This window comes from Homo sapiens, chromosome 6 (assembly GCF_000001405.40).
Source record: "Homo sapiens chromosome 6, GRCh38.p14 Primary Assembly".
Classification (NCBI taxonomy): Eukaryota; Metazoa; Chordata; class Mammalia; order Primates; family Hominidae; genus Homo; species Homo sapiens.
In genome coordinates, this window is record NC_000006.12 from 10784630 (window position 1) to 10802548 (window position 17919).

At 42.1% G+C, this 17919-nt stretch overlaps 1 protein-coding gene across 15 annotated transcripts in view; it reads right to left on the reverse strand.

Annotated features, from left to right (window-relative positions):
- MAK (male germ cell associated kinase) overlaps nt 1–17919 on the reverse strand; it is a 75817-nt gene that overhangs the window by 21907 nt on the left and 35991 nt on the right. For 10 of the 15 annotated variants that reach the window (XR_926215.4, NR_134936.2, NM_001377262.1 and 7 more), the window contains 3 exons: nt 17263–17430; nt 11369–11680; nt 7046–7218 (listed from right to left, as the gene is read on the reverse strand). Coding sequence is in view for 9 of the 15 variants with exons in the window: in NM_001377262.1 (NP_001364191.1) it covers nt 7046–7218; nt 11369–11680; nt 17263–17430 (653 nt within the window). In the remaining 6 variants the exon portion in view is untranslated. Of the gene's footprint in view, nt 1–54; nt 7219–11368; nt 11681–17262; nt 17431–17919 lie in introns of all 15 variants that reach the window. The other 5 variants (XR_926220.4, XR_001743419.3, NR_134935.2 and 2 more) reach the window with 4 other exon arrangements.

Below are 17919 nucleotides of genomic sequence, written 5' to 3' on the forward strand. Positions count from 1 at the left end.
CCTCTGCACATCTCGCCCACCCTCTGCACATCTTCCTAAGCCAGTCAATCTGACCTCACTTAAATGGTTTCCATCAGTCTTTTGGCTAAGTGACAACTTCCCCTCCACCCGCGTAGATATTGGGTCGTGCACAGACTCATTTCTGATACCAGTATGTGACAGGAACCTTTATAACTGAGCAGCAATTTACTTGTGTGTAACATGTTTCTATCTGTCCTGCAACGGCTGCAGTTGGATTCATAACGTGGGAAACTGGTGTGCTGAGAGGGAAATAACAGCCATCTTCACCTGTTGACTAAAATAATTTACAATCAATGAGGTTGTTTGGGGCATGGTTTGGATGGCCTAAAAAACTGAAATGGGGAAAGAAGTGCTAGAAAAGCTCCCGTATACAATTTCCCGTCACCCTAGTGTCAGGCACAGAAAATAGGTATTTGTGGAGACATGCCTGTGTCTCAGCCAGAACAGACTTGTGCAGTGGCTAAGCACCTCGCTAGCTGTTTAGTGGTGTTTGTTAGTATTAAGACTGACTCTCTGCCTGTTGGTCCCTAACTCCCACAGTCCTGTTTCTGTGTACGGACTGAGGACTTTCTGCTTCGAGGCTTAGTTCTGTCTCATTCCCGAGGCCTGTCCCTGAGGCCTGTTTGACCAGGCAGCAGTGCGTGAGGCGGCCATTGCTTTGTGTTGCTGCCCATCCCTCTGTGTGCTGTAATGAGCCCTCCACGACCAACCTTCTCCCCACCACCCTCCGACTGGGCTCCTTCTTTGCTGGGGCCTGAATATACTGCCCAATTTCCATCACTTGTTAACTCCAAGCATCCATGGTTTCCACCTAGAAATTCATGCTACCAAACCCTACTCACCAAGTTGGCTCCCTTGGAAATGGATACTCACTTGGGTGGCCCTTTGAACTGCTGGCCACCTGCTTGGGGGCAGTTCTAGGCACAGGTGCGTCTGCTTCAATGGGAACAGTCCCGCCATTTCTGGCAACTTTCCCTTCCCCTGAGCCCACTGCTGTTATATCACTAACTGAAATTCTACCCATTCCCAAAACTACTCACTCTAAAAAGACTTTTCTGTCCTCATCAGAGGGATCTCTGCCCATAGACAGAACTCCCAGAGCTCCTTGCAGCTGTCACTAGTGGCACTAAATGCACACACTTGTCATGTGTTATAGTCCTCTGGAGGTCTTATTTCTGTTGCCATATATTTGATGAGTTGAAGAGAGGCTTAATTCCAACTAGGTATTTAGTAAACATCTACTGAATATAAATACAAGTATAAATCTAAATATAAATATCTTGCTTTTTGTTCACTTTTAAGAAGACAACCAGGCTGGGTGCAGTGGCTCACGCCTGTAATTCTAGCACTTTGAGAGGCAAAGGCAGGTGGATCACCTGAGATCAGGAGTTTGAGACCAGCCTGGCCAACATGGTGAAACCCTGTCTCTACTAAAAATACAAAAATTAGCTGGGCATGGTGGCGGCCACCTGTAATCCCAGCTACTTGGGAGGCTGAGACAGGAGGATCACTTGAACCCGGGAGGCAGAGGTTGCAGTGAGCCAAGATCGCACCACTGCACTCAGCCTGGGCGACAAGAGCAAAGCTCCATCTCAATCATAATAATAATTTAAAAAATAAGACAACCATTAAATAAAAGGTATACATGTTAGTATTTGGTACTCTGTATTCTTTATGGGGAGGCCCTGGCTGCCTGAGAGACCAAGCAGGGGATGGCAGGGTCTGTTCAATGCACCAGTTCACCTCCTATTCACCACTCCACTAATGCACCAGTTCACCTCCTATTCACCACTCCACTAATGCACCAGTTCACCTCCTATTCACCACTCCACTAATGCACCAGTTCACCTCCTATTCACCACTCCACTAATTCACCAGTTCACCTCCTATTCACCACTCCACTAATTCACCAGTTCACCTCCTATTCACCACTCCACTAATTCACCAGTTCACCTCCTATTCACCACTCCACTAATGCACCAGTTCACCTCCTATTCACCACTCCACTAATTCACCAGTTCACCTCCTATTCACCACTCCACTAATGCACCAGTTCACCTCCTATTCACCACTCCACTAATGCACCAGTTCACCTCCTATTCACCACTCCACTAATGCACCAGTTCACCTCCTATTCACCACTCCACTAATTCACCAGTTCACCTCCTATTCACCACTCCGCTAATTCACCAGTTCACCTCCTATTCACCACTCCGCTAATTCACCAGTTCACCTCCTATTCACCACTCCGCTAATTCACCAGTTCACCTCCTATTCACCACTCCGCTAATGCACCAGTTCACCTCCTATTCACCACTCCGCTAATGCACCAGTTCACCTCCTATTCACCACTCCGCTAATGCACCAGTTCACCTCCTATTCACCACTCCGCTAATGCACCAGTTCACCTCCTATTCACCACTCCGCTACTTCACCAGTTCACCTCCTATTCACCACTCCGCTAATGCACCAGTTCACCTCCTATTCACCACTCCGCTAATTCACCAGTTCACCTCCTGTTCACCACTCCGCTAATTCACCAGTTCACCTCCTGTTCACCACTCCGCTAATTCACCAATTCACCTCCTATTCACAAATCCACCAATTCACCAATTCAGCTCCTATTCACAAATCCAACAATTCACCAATTCAGCTCCTATTGCTAAAGAAGCAGTGTGGGGTAGAAGAGAGAAAGACCTGGATTTGAATTAATCCTTACCTGATCTTGGGCAAGAAACCCAGCCTATCCAAGTCTCAGCATCCTACTCTGCAGATATTTTTACTGAAGTATGAAAATTATAAAGTTTAGGCAGGAGCTTAACAGATGGTAGTATATTAATAATAATGATGATCATAATAATAACCATATGCCTAGAATTGTACAAGACCATTGAAAGATACCAAAAAATAAAAATGTAGAAGAAATGGCTGGGCGCAGTGGCTCACGCCTGTAATCCCAGCACTTTGGGAGGCTGAGGCAGGTGGATCACGAGGTCGGGAGATCGAGACCATCCTGGCTAACATGGTGAAACCCTGTCTCTACTAAAAAAAATACAAAAAATTAGCCGAGTGTGGTGGTGGGCACCTGCAGTCCCAGCTACTCGGGAGGCTGAGGCAGGAGAATGGCGTGAACCCAGGAGGCGGAGCTTGCAGTGAGCTGAGATCGCGCCACTGCACTCCAGCCTGGGTGACAGAGCGAGACTGTCTCAAAAAAAAAAAAAAAAAGTAGAAGAAATACCCACATGAAAAATTCACTGTCATACAGTTTTTCTAAAGAATTTCAAGAGAAAAGGGATAATTAATGTTGAAGAAATTTACTAATTGTTCCCTTGCTAGAAACAGGTATATAGACTACAACCTTGATCTTTTTTTGATTTTTTGAGACAGTGTCTCGCTCTGTTGCCCAGGCTGGGGTGCAGTGGCTCGGCCTTCCAAGCTCAAGCAATCCTCTCACCTCAGCCTCCTGAGTAGCTCGAACTACAGGTGTGGGCTACCACATCTGGCTAATTTTTGTATTTTTTTGTAGAGATGGAGTTTTGCCATATTGCCCAGGCTGGTCTCAAACTCCTAAGCTCAAGCAACCCACCTACCTCGGCCTCCTAAAGTGCTAGGTTTATAAGTATAAGCCACCATGAACAGCCACAACCTTGATCTTAACTATAGGTTTTGATTCAAACCTCTACCATCCTCAAAAATATATGACTAAAATTTATGAATAAATTATGAATAATTATAAATAATTATGAATAAAATTTAGCTGAAATCAGAATGACATGGGTTTTAAAAAATGTTTTCAAGTCGCCAGGTGCGGTGGCTCATGCCTGTAATCCCAACACTTTTGGAGGCCGAGGCAGGTGGATCACCTGAGGTCAGGAGTTCAAGACTAGCCTGGCCAACATGGTGAAACACTGTCTCTATTAAAAATACAAAAAATTAGCCAGGCGTGGTGGCACACGCCTGTAACAATCTGAGCTACTAAGGAGACTGAGACAGGAGAATTGCTTGAACCCTGGAGGCAGAGGTTGCAGTGAGCCGAGATCACATCACTGCACTCCAGCCTGGGCAATGAAGCGACATTCCGTCTCAAAAAGAAAAAAAAGAAAAAAAATGTTTCAAATCTCCCATATACTACATCAGTGGTCTTCAAACTCTTCTGTTCCTAGACCCAAATAATTGTTTTTTAAATTATGTAACTCCCTGCACATCTTTAAATAGACATCTATAATTTTTCATCATAAATTTGTTCCTTATTTCTTGTTAACAGCAGATAGAAACAGTATTTTATAAGATGAAATATTGTGAGGATTGACTGCAATTGGAGTATTTCATGGTATGGCTTGATAAAATAAGTTTTAACTACCTTATCCATAATACACTCTGATCCTCAAATAAGTAAAATTTTAATCCATGTGTTTTGAAAACCCATGGATTAAACACACAGATTAGGAAGGAGTACCTATGGAATGTGAAGACCTGGAAACGGATTGCCTAAGAGTTATCCAAGCAAAAAAGAAAAAAAAAAAAAAAAGAATTATCCAAGCATATGCACTCCTTAGAGATTCCTCGTGCCCCAAAGTGAAGACTTCCATACTATACCATGCCAAAGAGCTCCTGGATAAGTTTTCCTGACTCATAACACAACTGTTCTTCCTATTCTTCTGTTTCAAAGAGGAAACAGAGCATTTTAGTATATTTGAAAGAATACACATCACTAACGCCTGGTGCTTCAGTGTTTCCAAATCACCATGCTTTCCAACATGGGCTAAAATACAGTAGCCCCCATTACGTGTGGGGGATATGTTCTAAGACCCCCAGAGGATGCCTGAAACCACAGATAGTATCAAACCCTATACAGCCCATCTTTTCCTATATGTATGTGCATAGATACCTATGAGGAAGTTTAATTTATAAGTTGGGCACAGCAAGAGATTAACATTAATAACTAATACTAAAATAGAACAATTAAAACAATATATTGTAATAAAAGTTATGTGAATGTGCTCTCAAAAATATCTTTTTTTTGTTTTGAGACGGAGTCTCACTCTCACTCAGGCTGGAGTGCAGTGGCACAATCTCGGCTCACCACAACCTCTGCCTCCTGGGTTCAAGTTTCTCCTGCCTCAGCCTGCTGAGTAGCTGGGATTACAGGCGCCCGCCACCACACCCAGCTAATTTTTGTATTTTTAGTAAAGACGAGGTTTCACCATGTTGGCCAGGCTGGTCTCAATCTCCTGAACTCAGGTGATCCACCTACCTCAGCCTCCCAAAGTGCTGGGATTACAGGCATTGAGCCTCCGCACCCAGCCCAAAATATCTTATTGCACCGTACTGCAGGTAAATGAAACCATGGAAGGTGAAACTGCAGATTCAGGGGACTACTGTACCCAATTTCTGTAAGACAAGAACCAACAGAAAGCCAGTTTTCTGATTTGTCCCTTTATTTAGTAACCCTATGCCATGTAAGAGTTGAAATAACTGAGAGGTGTGACTTTCTTGCCTAGAGTGGAAGAGGACTTGAGTGGGCTTTTCCTCCAGTTCATGTATTTTTAGGAAAGAGTACCTATGGAATGTGAAGACCTGGAAACGGATTGCATAAGAGTTATCCAAGCAAAAAAAGAATTATCCAAGCATATGTACTCCTTAGAGATTCCTCGTGCTCCAAAGTGAAGACTTCCATACTATGTCATGCCAAATAGCTACTTGTATAAGTTTTCCTGACTCATAACACACTTGTTCTTTCTATTCTTCTGTTTCAAAGAGGAAAACAAAAAAAAAAGAAAGTATCTTTCCAAAATATTCACCAAAACTTAACCCATCCTAACTTCAAAGTCGAATAATGTACTAAGGATGACCTCACTTATAAAAAGTAAAGGAACTGCTAGAGATATTAAACTTCCAGAAAAGGCTCAGAAAATGATTGAAAAAAGTTTAGAATAGCGAGGAGGCAGTTAGTGAAATCTTAACACCATCAGAAGAAGCTGTTAACTTGGCACGTGGTGCTCTACTTCCTGCAACGAGGCATGTCAATTTCAAATGGGAATAATGATTGTCATTCACAAGAGCATCGTAAAAATGGAACAAGATCCCCTCTGATACGTTTTGGACATCTGTCCTCTCTAAATCTCATGTTGAAATGTAATCCCCAGTTTTGAGGTGGGGCCTGGCGGGAGGTGTTTGGACCATGGGAGCAGATCCCTCACAAATGGCTTGGTACTATCCTTGCGGTAACGAGTGAGTTCTCACTCTGAGTTCATGCAAGACTTGATCGTTTAAAAGAGTCTGGGACCTCCTCCCTCTCTCTCTTGCTCCCTCTCTTGCCATGTGACAGGCTGGATCCTCTGCCACCTTCTGCCATTATTCTAAGTTTCCAAAAGCCCTCACCAGAAGCACATGCTGGCACTATGCTTCCTGTACAACCTGCAGAACCATGGGCCAACACATTCTTTATAGCAATGTAAAAACGGACTGACACACTCTCTACACACACACACAGACACACACACCCCACTCATCTGTTAATACTGAGAACTGTTACTGTGAGAAGATTCTTACCTTTTCAGAAGTATGTGGAAAGATTTGTGTTTTGTGGAAGGCACCAATATTAAGCAAATTTTTTTCTTTTTTTCTTTTTTTTGAGACAGAGTCTCACTTTGTTACCCAGGCTGGAATGCAATGGCACAATCTTGGCTCACTGCAACATTCACCTCCCAGGTTCAAGAAATTCTCATGTCTCAGCTTCCCGAGTAGCTGGGATTACAGGTGCACACCACCACACCCAGCTAATTTTTGTATTTTTAGTAGAGACGGGGTTTCACCATGTCAGCCAGGCTAGTTTCAAACTCCTGGCCTCAAGTGATCAACCTGCCTCGGCCTCCCAAAGTGCTGGGATTACAGGCCTGAGCCACTACACCTGGCCTGTTAAGCAAACTTTTCTTCTTTTAGGGTCTACATGCATTTATATTTAATGAGTAAAATAAAGTTAATGCATGGCAAAAATATTTTTCTGAGGAATTTGAAATCTTACCGAAATGGAGAATCTTTTTTCCTTTTTTCTTTAAAAACACCCATGCTTGGCTTCTTGGAATGGGAGGCTCCGAAATCATAGTCCTCCAACTCTTCCCAGCTATCTCCAGACTTGAAGATAGTCTGACCCCAACGCCTCCTACCACTTTTATGACTCAGTGTGCCATTTGGCTTCTGTGGTGGAAAATCAGTCATCATAATCTTTAATCATGTACTGAATGCCTTTCATGCACAAGCTACTATCTATGTAAGACACTAACAGTCCCCATTCTCAAGGAGCGTTCCATACATGTAAGGGCATAACATATATACACATTTAAAAGCATGAACAAAAATGGGCGGTACATGCCAAAAATATGATAGGTGTTCAGAGGAGAGATCTCTGTGAACTAGGTTGGTGAGAGACTTGAATATTTAGGATCTGAGTTGACTCTTCATTGACAGGAAGGATCTGGAAACCTGAGACTTGGCTATGCTCTTTGGGCAAGTGACTTAACTTCTCAAAGCCTTAGTGTCCTCCTTAAGTGGGGACAGCCTTAATGAGAAGGACACTAAGGCTGGCATGTGCCAGCATCTTTTACTCTTCCCCCTCCTTGAATGCAGACACGACATCCAAAGGAACACCAGTCATCCTGTGGCCACAGGAATGAAAGCCACCTGCTCAGGGTGGTGGAGCGGGAAGCCAGCAGCAGCCTGCCTCCTCTGCAAGCTTCATGAGCTCCAGCTACCCACCACCCGATTTCTTGTTATCTGAGAACAACAATCCCTATTGTTTAAGCCACAGTGGTCGAGTTTTTGTCATAAGTCCCTGAATGTAATCCTAACGGAAACAGAGAGGGAAGTATGAGTCTGACTGTCACAGAATGGAGGCATCATTAACAGAAATAAGGAATGGGAAAGAAGTCCTGGCTTAGAGCACACAATGAATTGGTTTTATACAAATTTACAGAAAGTGGTTTGGGGGCACATAAACAGAAAAATCCAAAAGGCAACTCAAAACTAGGGAAGAGAGCATGGAAAATTTTCAGAAAATACACCTATGTTGGGTGCAGGGAGATTCTTAAAGAATGGACATGCTATTGCTTGAAGCTGACGGTATTACAGTGATAGTGATGGATGATAACAAAAAGCAGTATTTGCCAGCTTCTCTACACTATTACTTTCTCTGCCAGGCACAACAATCTCCAGAATAAAGAGAATAAAAAAAATGTTAAGCTCCAGATGAGTAGGGTTAATAAAAGGTTACCCTTAGCTGAGTTTGAGCCTCCCTTCTGTTGAATTGTATTTTAGGGTACTGATCCTGAACACTGCTGAACAATATCAGTGATATGCAAGAATCTGGTATGGCTGAGAAGACTGGAAAGGGGCAAATATAATACTTTTAATAAAGTAGAAGATTTATTTTTGCAAACTCCACATCAGTAAGTTTGGTAGAGGATGAGGGCAAAGATTCTAAAATCAATTATTAAAGGGGATGTTTGTGAGCACTAAGGAAAAACAGTGATAGCTCATATAGACCACACTTTTTCATAAAAGGCAAACAATGAATTCATTCAGTGTAGTGTATGTGGACTTCAGCCCAGTGGGTGAAGGCAGCAAAGGGGATCAGCACATAGTTGAAGAACTTGACCAACAGTACTGACAAATGGATCAACGTCAATCTAGAGAAAGGTTCTAGTAGCCTGCCCAAGATCTCACGGTCGTTCTATTCATCATGAAGATTCAGGAGCAAAACAGACAACTAAACAAATACACAGCTGGCAACAAGCTGGGCAGAATGGGTAAACTGAGAAGAAAAAATACAGATTCAAAAATAATTAGAAATTGAAGAGGTAAGAGATCTTGCAACTTTTTGAATCCTAGAGATGAAATACACAAGTCAGAGGTACAGAATATGCAATTTAGGAGAAGCATTTGTGAAAAAACAGGTATACTTAGAAATTTTAGTTAACACAGTACTTAATCCCAGCTCTGGAACTCACCTATATAAAAATGTGTGTGTGGCGGGGCTGGGGGCTAGGTTATTCTCTTTAACTTAGAGAATGCACACAGCGTCCCTCGCATATGCATGGCACTTGGAAGCTACTCAATAAATATTAACTTCCTTTCCTTCCCTCACAATATGAGTCAACAATTGATGCATCTTCCAAGGGGTCATGGGGAGGACTGTCATCGTTGGTGGCACGAGTGCACATATGGTTTAGAATGTCGGAGGTGATTCGCCCTGCTCTATATTCCCTGCCTGCTGTCTGCCTCTAGCTCTGGCAACCTCATTCTAAGTGGAAAGCAAGATGAGAGGGGACTTAAAGACACATTCATAATAGGAACTGAGAGTTATCAGTCATTGGTGAATGGTGTTATATGCAGAGCCCTTAAGGGAATTGGAGAAGTTTCTCTAGAGAAAAGGGCAGATAATATAAGGGCTATTTTCAAATATCTAAAAGGCTGCCTTTCTAGAAAAGTGATTAGCCTTCATTAAAAGCTAGAAAACCAGATTTTACCCAGTATTAAGGAAGAACTTTCTAATATTCAGAACTGTTCCAAAGATAAAAGTGGACTCCCCAGGACCCCAGAGGTGGTTTACAAGTCATGTGGGCAATTATTCATTCCTTCATTCACTGAACAAATATCTACTGAGAATCTACCATGTGGCAGGCACTGGTCGGGGTGCTGAGGCTGTACTGATAAACACACAAACATTCCTGACCTCACTGAGCTTGCTGCATTCCAGAGGAAGAGACAAATAAACAATAAACATAAGAAGTAATTAACAGTATGTTAGAATGTGATTAGTGCTATTGGGGGACGAGGAGGCCTTGCTTATCTAGGTTGGTGGGGCAGTTGGGGACTGGAAGGAAATAGATACAGTGCTGTATAAGACCGATTTCCATCCTAAAATGCCATAATGCAAACACATTTGGGAGTGTATACCCAGTGGGACAGCTAAAATACTACAGCAACTGAAGAGCTCCTGGAGCTGAACAAAAGATGGAAGAAAAAGTTTTATACTATGCCTGACACTTTAAAAACCTATTCTGGCCAGGTGCGGTGGCTCAGGCCTGTAATCCAAGCACTTTGGGAGGCCAAGGAGGGTGGATCACCTGAGGTCAGGAGTTCAAGACCAGCCGGACCAACATGGAGAAACCCCATCTCTACTAAAAATACAAAATTAGCTGGGCATGGTGGCACATGCCTGTAATCCGAGCTACTCAGGAGGCTGAGGCAGGAGGATTGCTTGAACCTGGGAGGTGGAGGTTGTGGTGAGCTGAGATCACACCATTGCACTCCAGCCTGGGCAACAAGAGCAAAACTCTGTCTCAAAATAATAATAATAATAATAATAAATAAAAACCCATTCTCTCCATGTTCCTTAGCATTTAAGAACACTGTAAAATGAAAGTACTGTTAAAAATTCTTAAGATTTAGGATCAGTACTCTGGAGTACCCGATTCTTTTAAATTCTTTCTTTGAATTCTTCTGCATTGAAAGAATTTTAGGCCGGGCTTGGTGGCTCACGCCTGTAATCCCAGCACTTTGGGAGGCCGAGATGGGTGGATCATCTGAGGTCAGGAGTTCGAGACCAGCCTGGCCAACATGGTCTCCACTAAAAATACAAAAATTAGCTGGGTGTGGTGGTGGGTGCCTATAATCCCAGCCACTCAGGAAGCTGAGGCAAGAGAACTGCTTGAACCTGGGAGGTGGAGGTTGCAGTGAGCCAAGATCGTGCCATTGCACTCCAGCCTGGGCAAATAGAGTGAAACTCCGTCTCAAGAAATAAAAAAGAAAAGCCCAGGTGCAGTGGCTCATGCCTGTAATCCCAGAACTTTGGGAGGCCAAGGCGGGTGTATCACTTGCAGTCAGGAACTCAAGACCAGCCTGGACAACATGGTGAAACCCCATCTCTACTAAAAATACAAAAAAATATCCAGGCGTGGTGGTGGGCGTCTGTAATCCCAGCTACTTGGGAGGCTGAGGCAGGAGAATCGCTTGAACCCAGGAGTCAGAGATTGCAGTGAGCTAAGGTCGTGCCACTGCACTCCAGCCTAGGCAACAAAAGCGAACCTCCGTCTCAAAAAAAGAAAAAGAAAAAAGACTGAAGACTGTAGCATGTAAACTTGGTTACTTTTATCCTGAAAGTTTTTCTTTTTATAAACCATATTAGAATTTTAAGTGATCTCATGTCAAGCTCCAACCAGAGGACTCAGGGTCTTTAACAAAGAAAAATCTTTTATATCTTTTCCAACATTATTAGAAATGCCTCGAAAAAAATCTTAATTGCACGAGTCAAACTATTTCATTGCAAGTGTCATGACTGGCTACTCACAGTTGGCATGTTTTTGACGATGCTCGGGAATAGCGTTTGTGGCGGTTTCTCCTGACTCTGTTGCTTTGGAGGTTGCTGGACGCTCAGGTTCTGTGGCGGCTGAATGGGCTGCAGTGGCTGCTGGCTAGTTTTTGGCTGGGGTTGTCCAACAACCTGATCGATTATATCCGGCAGAGGCTTAGGCTCTACCTCAACTAAAGATGGCTTTGATTCTAATGGTTGCAGCTGCTTATTTAAAGACTGTTTTGATTCCAGATGATTTGACGAAGGGCCTAATACCTGACCAACTTGAAAATATGGGTGTTTCAATGCCTATAAAAACACAGAGAAAACAACAAATGGAAAACAGTTCCACCTAAATGTATTGCACATAAACTATGGTTGGCCCTGTGCGAGGCATTTATCATTAGCCCACATGAGCTTCAAAGATTTAGAAAGCAGCCATCATTCCCTATACAGTGCCTCTTTTAAAAGATAACCAGAAAAAAATGATTTGAGAAATAAATTGCATTAAAAAATTAAAAGTGGCTGGGCATGGTGGCTCACGCCTATAATCCTAGCACTTTGGGAGGATGAGGTGGGAGGATCACTTGCGGTCAGGAGTTCAAGACCAGCCCGACCAACATGGTGAAACCCAGTCTCTACTAAAAATACAAAAATTAGCCAGGCGTGTTGGTGGATGCCTGTAACCCCAGTTATACGGGAGGGTGAGGCATGAGAATCGCTTGAACCTGGGAGGAGGAGATTGTAGTGAGCCAAGATTGTGCCACTGCACTTCAACCTAGGCAACACAGCGAGACTCCACCTCAAAAAAAAAAAAAAAAAAGTACTAGTAGGAAAAAATAGAAAGCTCACTTGTTATTATAACATCTAAGCAAAACAGCTGTTCTATTTATTTAAAGATTTGTTAGTGAAAATAAAATGTAATTTATAGACATTGGCTAAATTAATGTGATTACTTCAAGCTAAAATACTACACACCAATAATGGTTTAGAGTACACTCAAAGACATTAAAAAGTGAATTAAGAAAATCTTCCATATAGATTATTTGAAATGATTAACCAGAGCTGTATGTAAAATTCCGGGTTACTCTCAGCCTGAGTACAACAATATACCTACTAGTAATAAAAAAAAAATCTAAAGAGGGGACAACAAACACATACTGTTGAAGTTTATTTCATCGGTATACCAGCAAAGAGAAGACATTTATGGGAAGAAAATATAAAAATATTATGAAAAATGATCACTGTTTGAGTTTTATCTAGATCAGTCACCTGACTGCTTGCATGAGAGGGAAAGGACCCCCTGGTGTATGGGTGGCACCATCTAATAGCAGTGCTTCCCAAATGGAGGCAAGTTTGCCCCTTGGGAGATATCTGGCAATGTCTGGAGACATTTCTTATTATAATGACAGGGGTTGGGGGACGCTACTAGTGTCTAGTGTCTAGAGGGCCAGGGACATTGCTAACTATCCCATAATGCACACAATAGCACCCCACAGCAAAGAGTTATCTGGTTCACAACGTCAGTAAGGCTAAAACCGAAAAAATATTCTACAGAATGTCTAAAGCCTGTGTAGCTCAGCTATGGAAAAATTCCCTTATTGGCATCAAATACCTGGGCAAAGTAGCTGGTCATTTTTGGGGGGATGGGTTCCTTAAGATGGTCAAGCTCTGTTCCCCTGAACCTCCTGCCTTTAGCCAGTCCCCACATAGGTGGGAACATAGCCCTGACCAACAGTTAACTCCTCCCATGTGTAAGGGCAGTTTTTAGAGGAACAGAAGGCAGCTTGGTACTTTAAATGGTCTTCATATTCTACAACTTAACCAACCTCTCTCCCTAATTAGGTCTTTCCACTTCCACTAAAAAGCAGGGCTGTGAAACAGAGCACAAGAAAGAGTTTGTTAAGGGTTACTTGCATTCTCAGTGGAATACACAAATATACATAATTTGAATACTTCAATGCCTAGCACACTGAAGGTACTCAAATTCTGAATTAAGTCACATTAAGTAATTAGTATGTCAATATTCCTAAATTAATGATGCATATTTTGGAGCTGGAAACTTTGAGGATGTGTTTTGTAATTTCAAGGCTTTATTTATAACAACTCTTCCCTTTTTTTTTTTTTTTTTTTTTGAGATGGAGTCTCGCTCTGTCACCCAGACTGGAGTGCAGTGGCACGATCTTGGCTCACTGCATCCGCCTCCTGGGTTCAAGCAATTCTCCTGCCTCAGCCTCCCGAGTAGCTGGGATTACAGGCACACGCCACCATGCCCAGCTAATTTTTGTATTTTTAATAGAGACAGGGTTTCACCATGTTGGTCAGGCCGGTCTCAAGCTCCTGACCTCGTGATCCGCCCACCTTGGCCTCTCAAAGTGCTAGGATTACAGGTATGAGCCACTGTGCCCGGCCAACTCTTCCCTTTTAAGATACTTTAAGATACCAGTTACTATCCTTCAAGAAGAGGGAAAACTTTAAAAATTAATAGCATTTATTTTTTCCTATTTACTTAAGGGAAGCAGTGATCATTGTAGAGAATGAGAAACGTATAGAGTTCTCAAGACAAAAATAAAAATTTAACACCCAGAGACAACCAAGACTAACATTTTTTATACTTTTCGGTATTTTTTTCTCATCATATAAAATATATTTTTCAAAAACAAAATCATATTATTTGTATAATAGTATTTTAGCATGAGATTTCTCCCAAATTATTTAAAAATTTTATTTTACAAATTCACTGTTAATGCTGGCAGTATATTCCAAATTAAAGATGCACATAACCTAAGTTTAGAAACATTATTTATTTATTTATTTATTTATTTATTTATTTATTTATTTATTTTTGAGACAGAGTCTCACTCTGTCACCCAGGCTGGAGTGCAGTGGCACGATCTTGGCTCATTGCAACCTCCGCCTCCTGGGTTCAAGCTATCCTTCTGCCTCAGCCTCCCGAGTAGCTGAGATTACAGGTGTGTGTCACCATGCCTAGCTAATTTTTTGTATTTTTAGTAGAGATGGGGTTCTGCCACGTTGGCCAGGCTGATCTCAAACTCCTGACCTCAAGTGATCCGCCTGCCTCGGAAAGTGCTGGGATTACAGGTGTGCGGCACTGCAGAGCCACCGCACATGGTTGGAAACATTTTGATTAACTTTCAATGTACAGTTTTCTATTGGAATTGAACATCTTTGAGCATAATTTCTGATTGTCTTCAAGGCTCTTTTTATATACTACAAAATTACTTTCTCTTACTAAGAGAGATAAATGAAAAACGGTATCTCATTTCTACTTGCATTTTATAATAGTAAACAAAGACTGAACATTTAAAAAATATTTTTTGTAATCTGTATTTCTTTTCCTGTGTTTCTTTTTCATGTCCCATTACTACTTTTCTTTTTAAAATACATTTGAAAAACTTATTATGTCTTTATTATGAAGGTAATGAATGTTTAGAAAAATTAGAAAATATGGGCCAGGTGTGGTGGCTCACGCCTATATTATTTCAGCACTTTGGGAGGCCAAGGCAGGAGAACTGCACGAGACCAGGGGTTTGAGACCAGTCAGGACAACATAGTAAGACCCCATCTTTAAAGAAACAAAACTTTCAAAAAATTTTAAAAAAGAAAAATTAGAAAATACACTTAAACGGCTGGGCACAGTGGTTCATGCCTGTAATCCCAGCACTTTGGGAGGCCAAGGCAGGCAGATCACCTGAGGTCAGGAGATCAACAGCAGCCTGGCCAACATGGTAAAACTCCGTCTCTGGCCAGGCACAGTGGCACATTCCTGTAATCCCAGAACTTAGGGAGGCCGAGGTGGGTGGATCACCTAAGGTCAGGAGTTCAAGATCAGCCTGACCAACAAGGTGAAACCCCATCTCTACTAAAAATACAAAAATTAGCCAGGTGTGGTGGCAGGCACCTGTAGTCCCAGCTACTAGGGAGGCTGAGACAGAAGAATTGCTTGTATCTGGGAGGCGGAGGGTGTAGTGAACCGAGATCACGCTACTGCACTCCAGCCTGGGCGATGGAGCGAGACTCCGTTTCAAAAACAAAAACAAAAACAAAAAAAAACTAAACAAAAAAACCCCTCTGGTCTCTACAAAAATACAAAAATAAGCCAAGCGTGGTGGCGGGCACCTGCAATCCCAGCAACTCGGGAGGCTGAGGCAGGAGAATCGCCTGAACCCAGGAGGCGGAGGTTGCAGTGAGTGGAGATCATGCCACTACACTCCAGCCTGGGCAACAGAAACTCCATCTCAAAAAAAAAAGAAAATACACATACACATTTCAGTATTTTTCTTGTGTTTCTGTAGGAGTATTATATTAAGAATTAAAAATAATTTTCTCTGTCTTATCTTTCCATTTTAAGATTTTTACATAGAGAAAAATTTTACTTTTTATGTAATCAAATTGTTTGAATCTTCCTTTTGTGGTTTCTTCTATTATTTTTATACCCGTGTTTTTTCACCTTGAGATCAAATACACATGTATGCTTTCCTTTTGTTTCTAACAGTTTAGGGTGCTTTTTTTTTTACACTTTGAAAATGTAATCCTGGTCGGGCGCGGTGGCTCACACCTGTAATCCCAGCACTTTGGGAGGCCAAGGAGGGCAGATCACCTGAGGTTGGGAGGTCGAGACCAGCCTCACCAACATGGAGAAACCCTGTCTCTACTAAAAATACAAAATTAGCCAGGCGTGGTGGCTCATGCCTGTAATCTCAGCTACTCGGGAGGCTGAGGGTGGGAGAATCACTTGAACCCAGGAGGCAGAGGTTGCGGTGAGCCGAGATCATGCCATTGCACTCCAGCCTGGGCAACAAGAGTGAAACTCCATCTCAACAACAACAACAAAATGTAACCCTTCTGTGAGTTGTAAAGTATGGTGAGCAGTAAGGACCTCAATTTATTTTTTTCCCTAAGAGCTAATGAATTTTCCCAGTATCACCCACTGAGCCGTCCTCCCCTCTTTGTGATGCCACGTTTGTTTACCTTGTGCTGACTCATATGTTCTGCAACATTCAGCTATTTGTCAATTCTTATGCCAGTACTTCCACTGTTACCATCATCAATTTAAAGATTACTTTAATATCTGATGGGGCAAGCTGTCCATCCCTATCACCGCTCTCTAATTCCTTATTCTTGTTTTAACATATCTTGACTATCCTTTCCCATTTGTTCTTCCAGATGACATTTAGAAAACATTTTCTCAAGATTAATTTTAAAAAAAGCAAAATAAATTTTTGTAATTTTCACATGGAATTTATATTTAAATGATGAGAATACAATAAAGTTTATTATTGCCTTTTTATTGAAGCCTTGCAGACAAAAACACTGGGTTTAAAGGCCCTAGACTTGGAATACATCTGTAGATATGTCAGGTGTAGTCACAAAGGAACAAAGCCTGGGTGCCACAATGCTGCCCTCTTGTGGCAGCCAGAGGCTGCACACTCCAGTCCCAGCAAGGGATGATACTGTTGTATAAAGTGAACCAGAATCCCACCCCTAAACTGTAAAGGCAGCATAGGAAAGTCTACTATGTGGAATGATTCATGAGATGCCTTTTTGCTTCCATGACAGATTCCTTCATAACTAGTCTGTCGCAGGTCTGAATTTTTATCATTGCAGATTGATTCCTTGTTGCAACCTCAGGGTTCTTCATTTGAACCACAAAACTCAGAAAATCATTGGTGTGGCTATTTCTGCATTTCTCCCAATGATATTATATGCCTAGAAATTAATTTATTACATACGCTGGATGCCTAGGACTTTGTGTTTAATTCTCTTAGTAAAATCCTGGTTGAGAATAGACCTGCCTTTGTAAATGAAAACATCCCTGATATTACAAAACCTAAACATTTTTAAAGGTCTAACAGGAAGACTCCTCTTACCTGGCTTGCTGTCGGTCGTTTCTTTGGATCCCAATTCAACATTTCGGTCATGAGCTGAATAGCTTCATTACTGGCATTGGGAATAAGAGTTTTTAAGTTTATAGGAACACACTGGGGAAAACGGAAGTTCATAGAGGATGCCAGCTGGTATCCTTCTGGCCAGTCACTCTGTTTCAGGAATATATAAGTGCAGGTGGGGAGGGCAAAACAAATTGTTTTTAGTAATCCATTTAAAAAACACAGCAGTAATATAAACATCATTTATGTTTGAACATTTTCATGTTGATCCATATAAACATGAAAATGAAATACCAGACCACGTCTATAATTTAGTGCTACGACAGTATAGAAAGAACATTAAGCTGAGAGTTAGGAAACAATGCGAAAAGCACTTTTATAGCTTTTTTTTGTTTGTTTTTTTGTGTTTTTTTTGAGACAGGATCTGGCTCTGTTATCCAGGTTGGAGTGCAGTGGAGCAATCATGGCTCACTACAGCCTCACCCTCCCGGGCTCAAAAGATCCTCCTACCTCAGACTCCTGAGTAGCTGGGACTACAGGTGCGCACCATCACACCTGGCTAATTTTTTTTTGTGGAGACGGGGTTTCACTATGTTGCCCAGGCTGGTCTTGAACTCCTGGGCTCAAGTGATCCTCCTG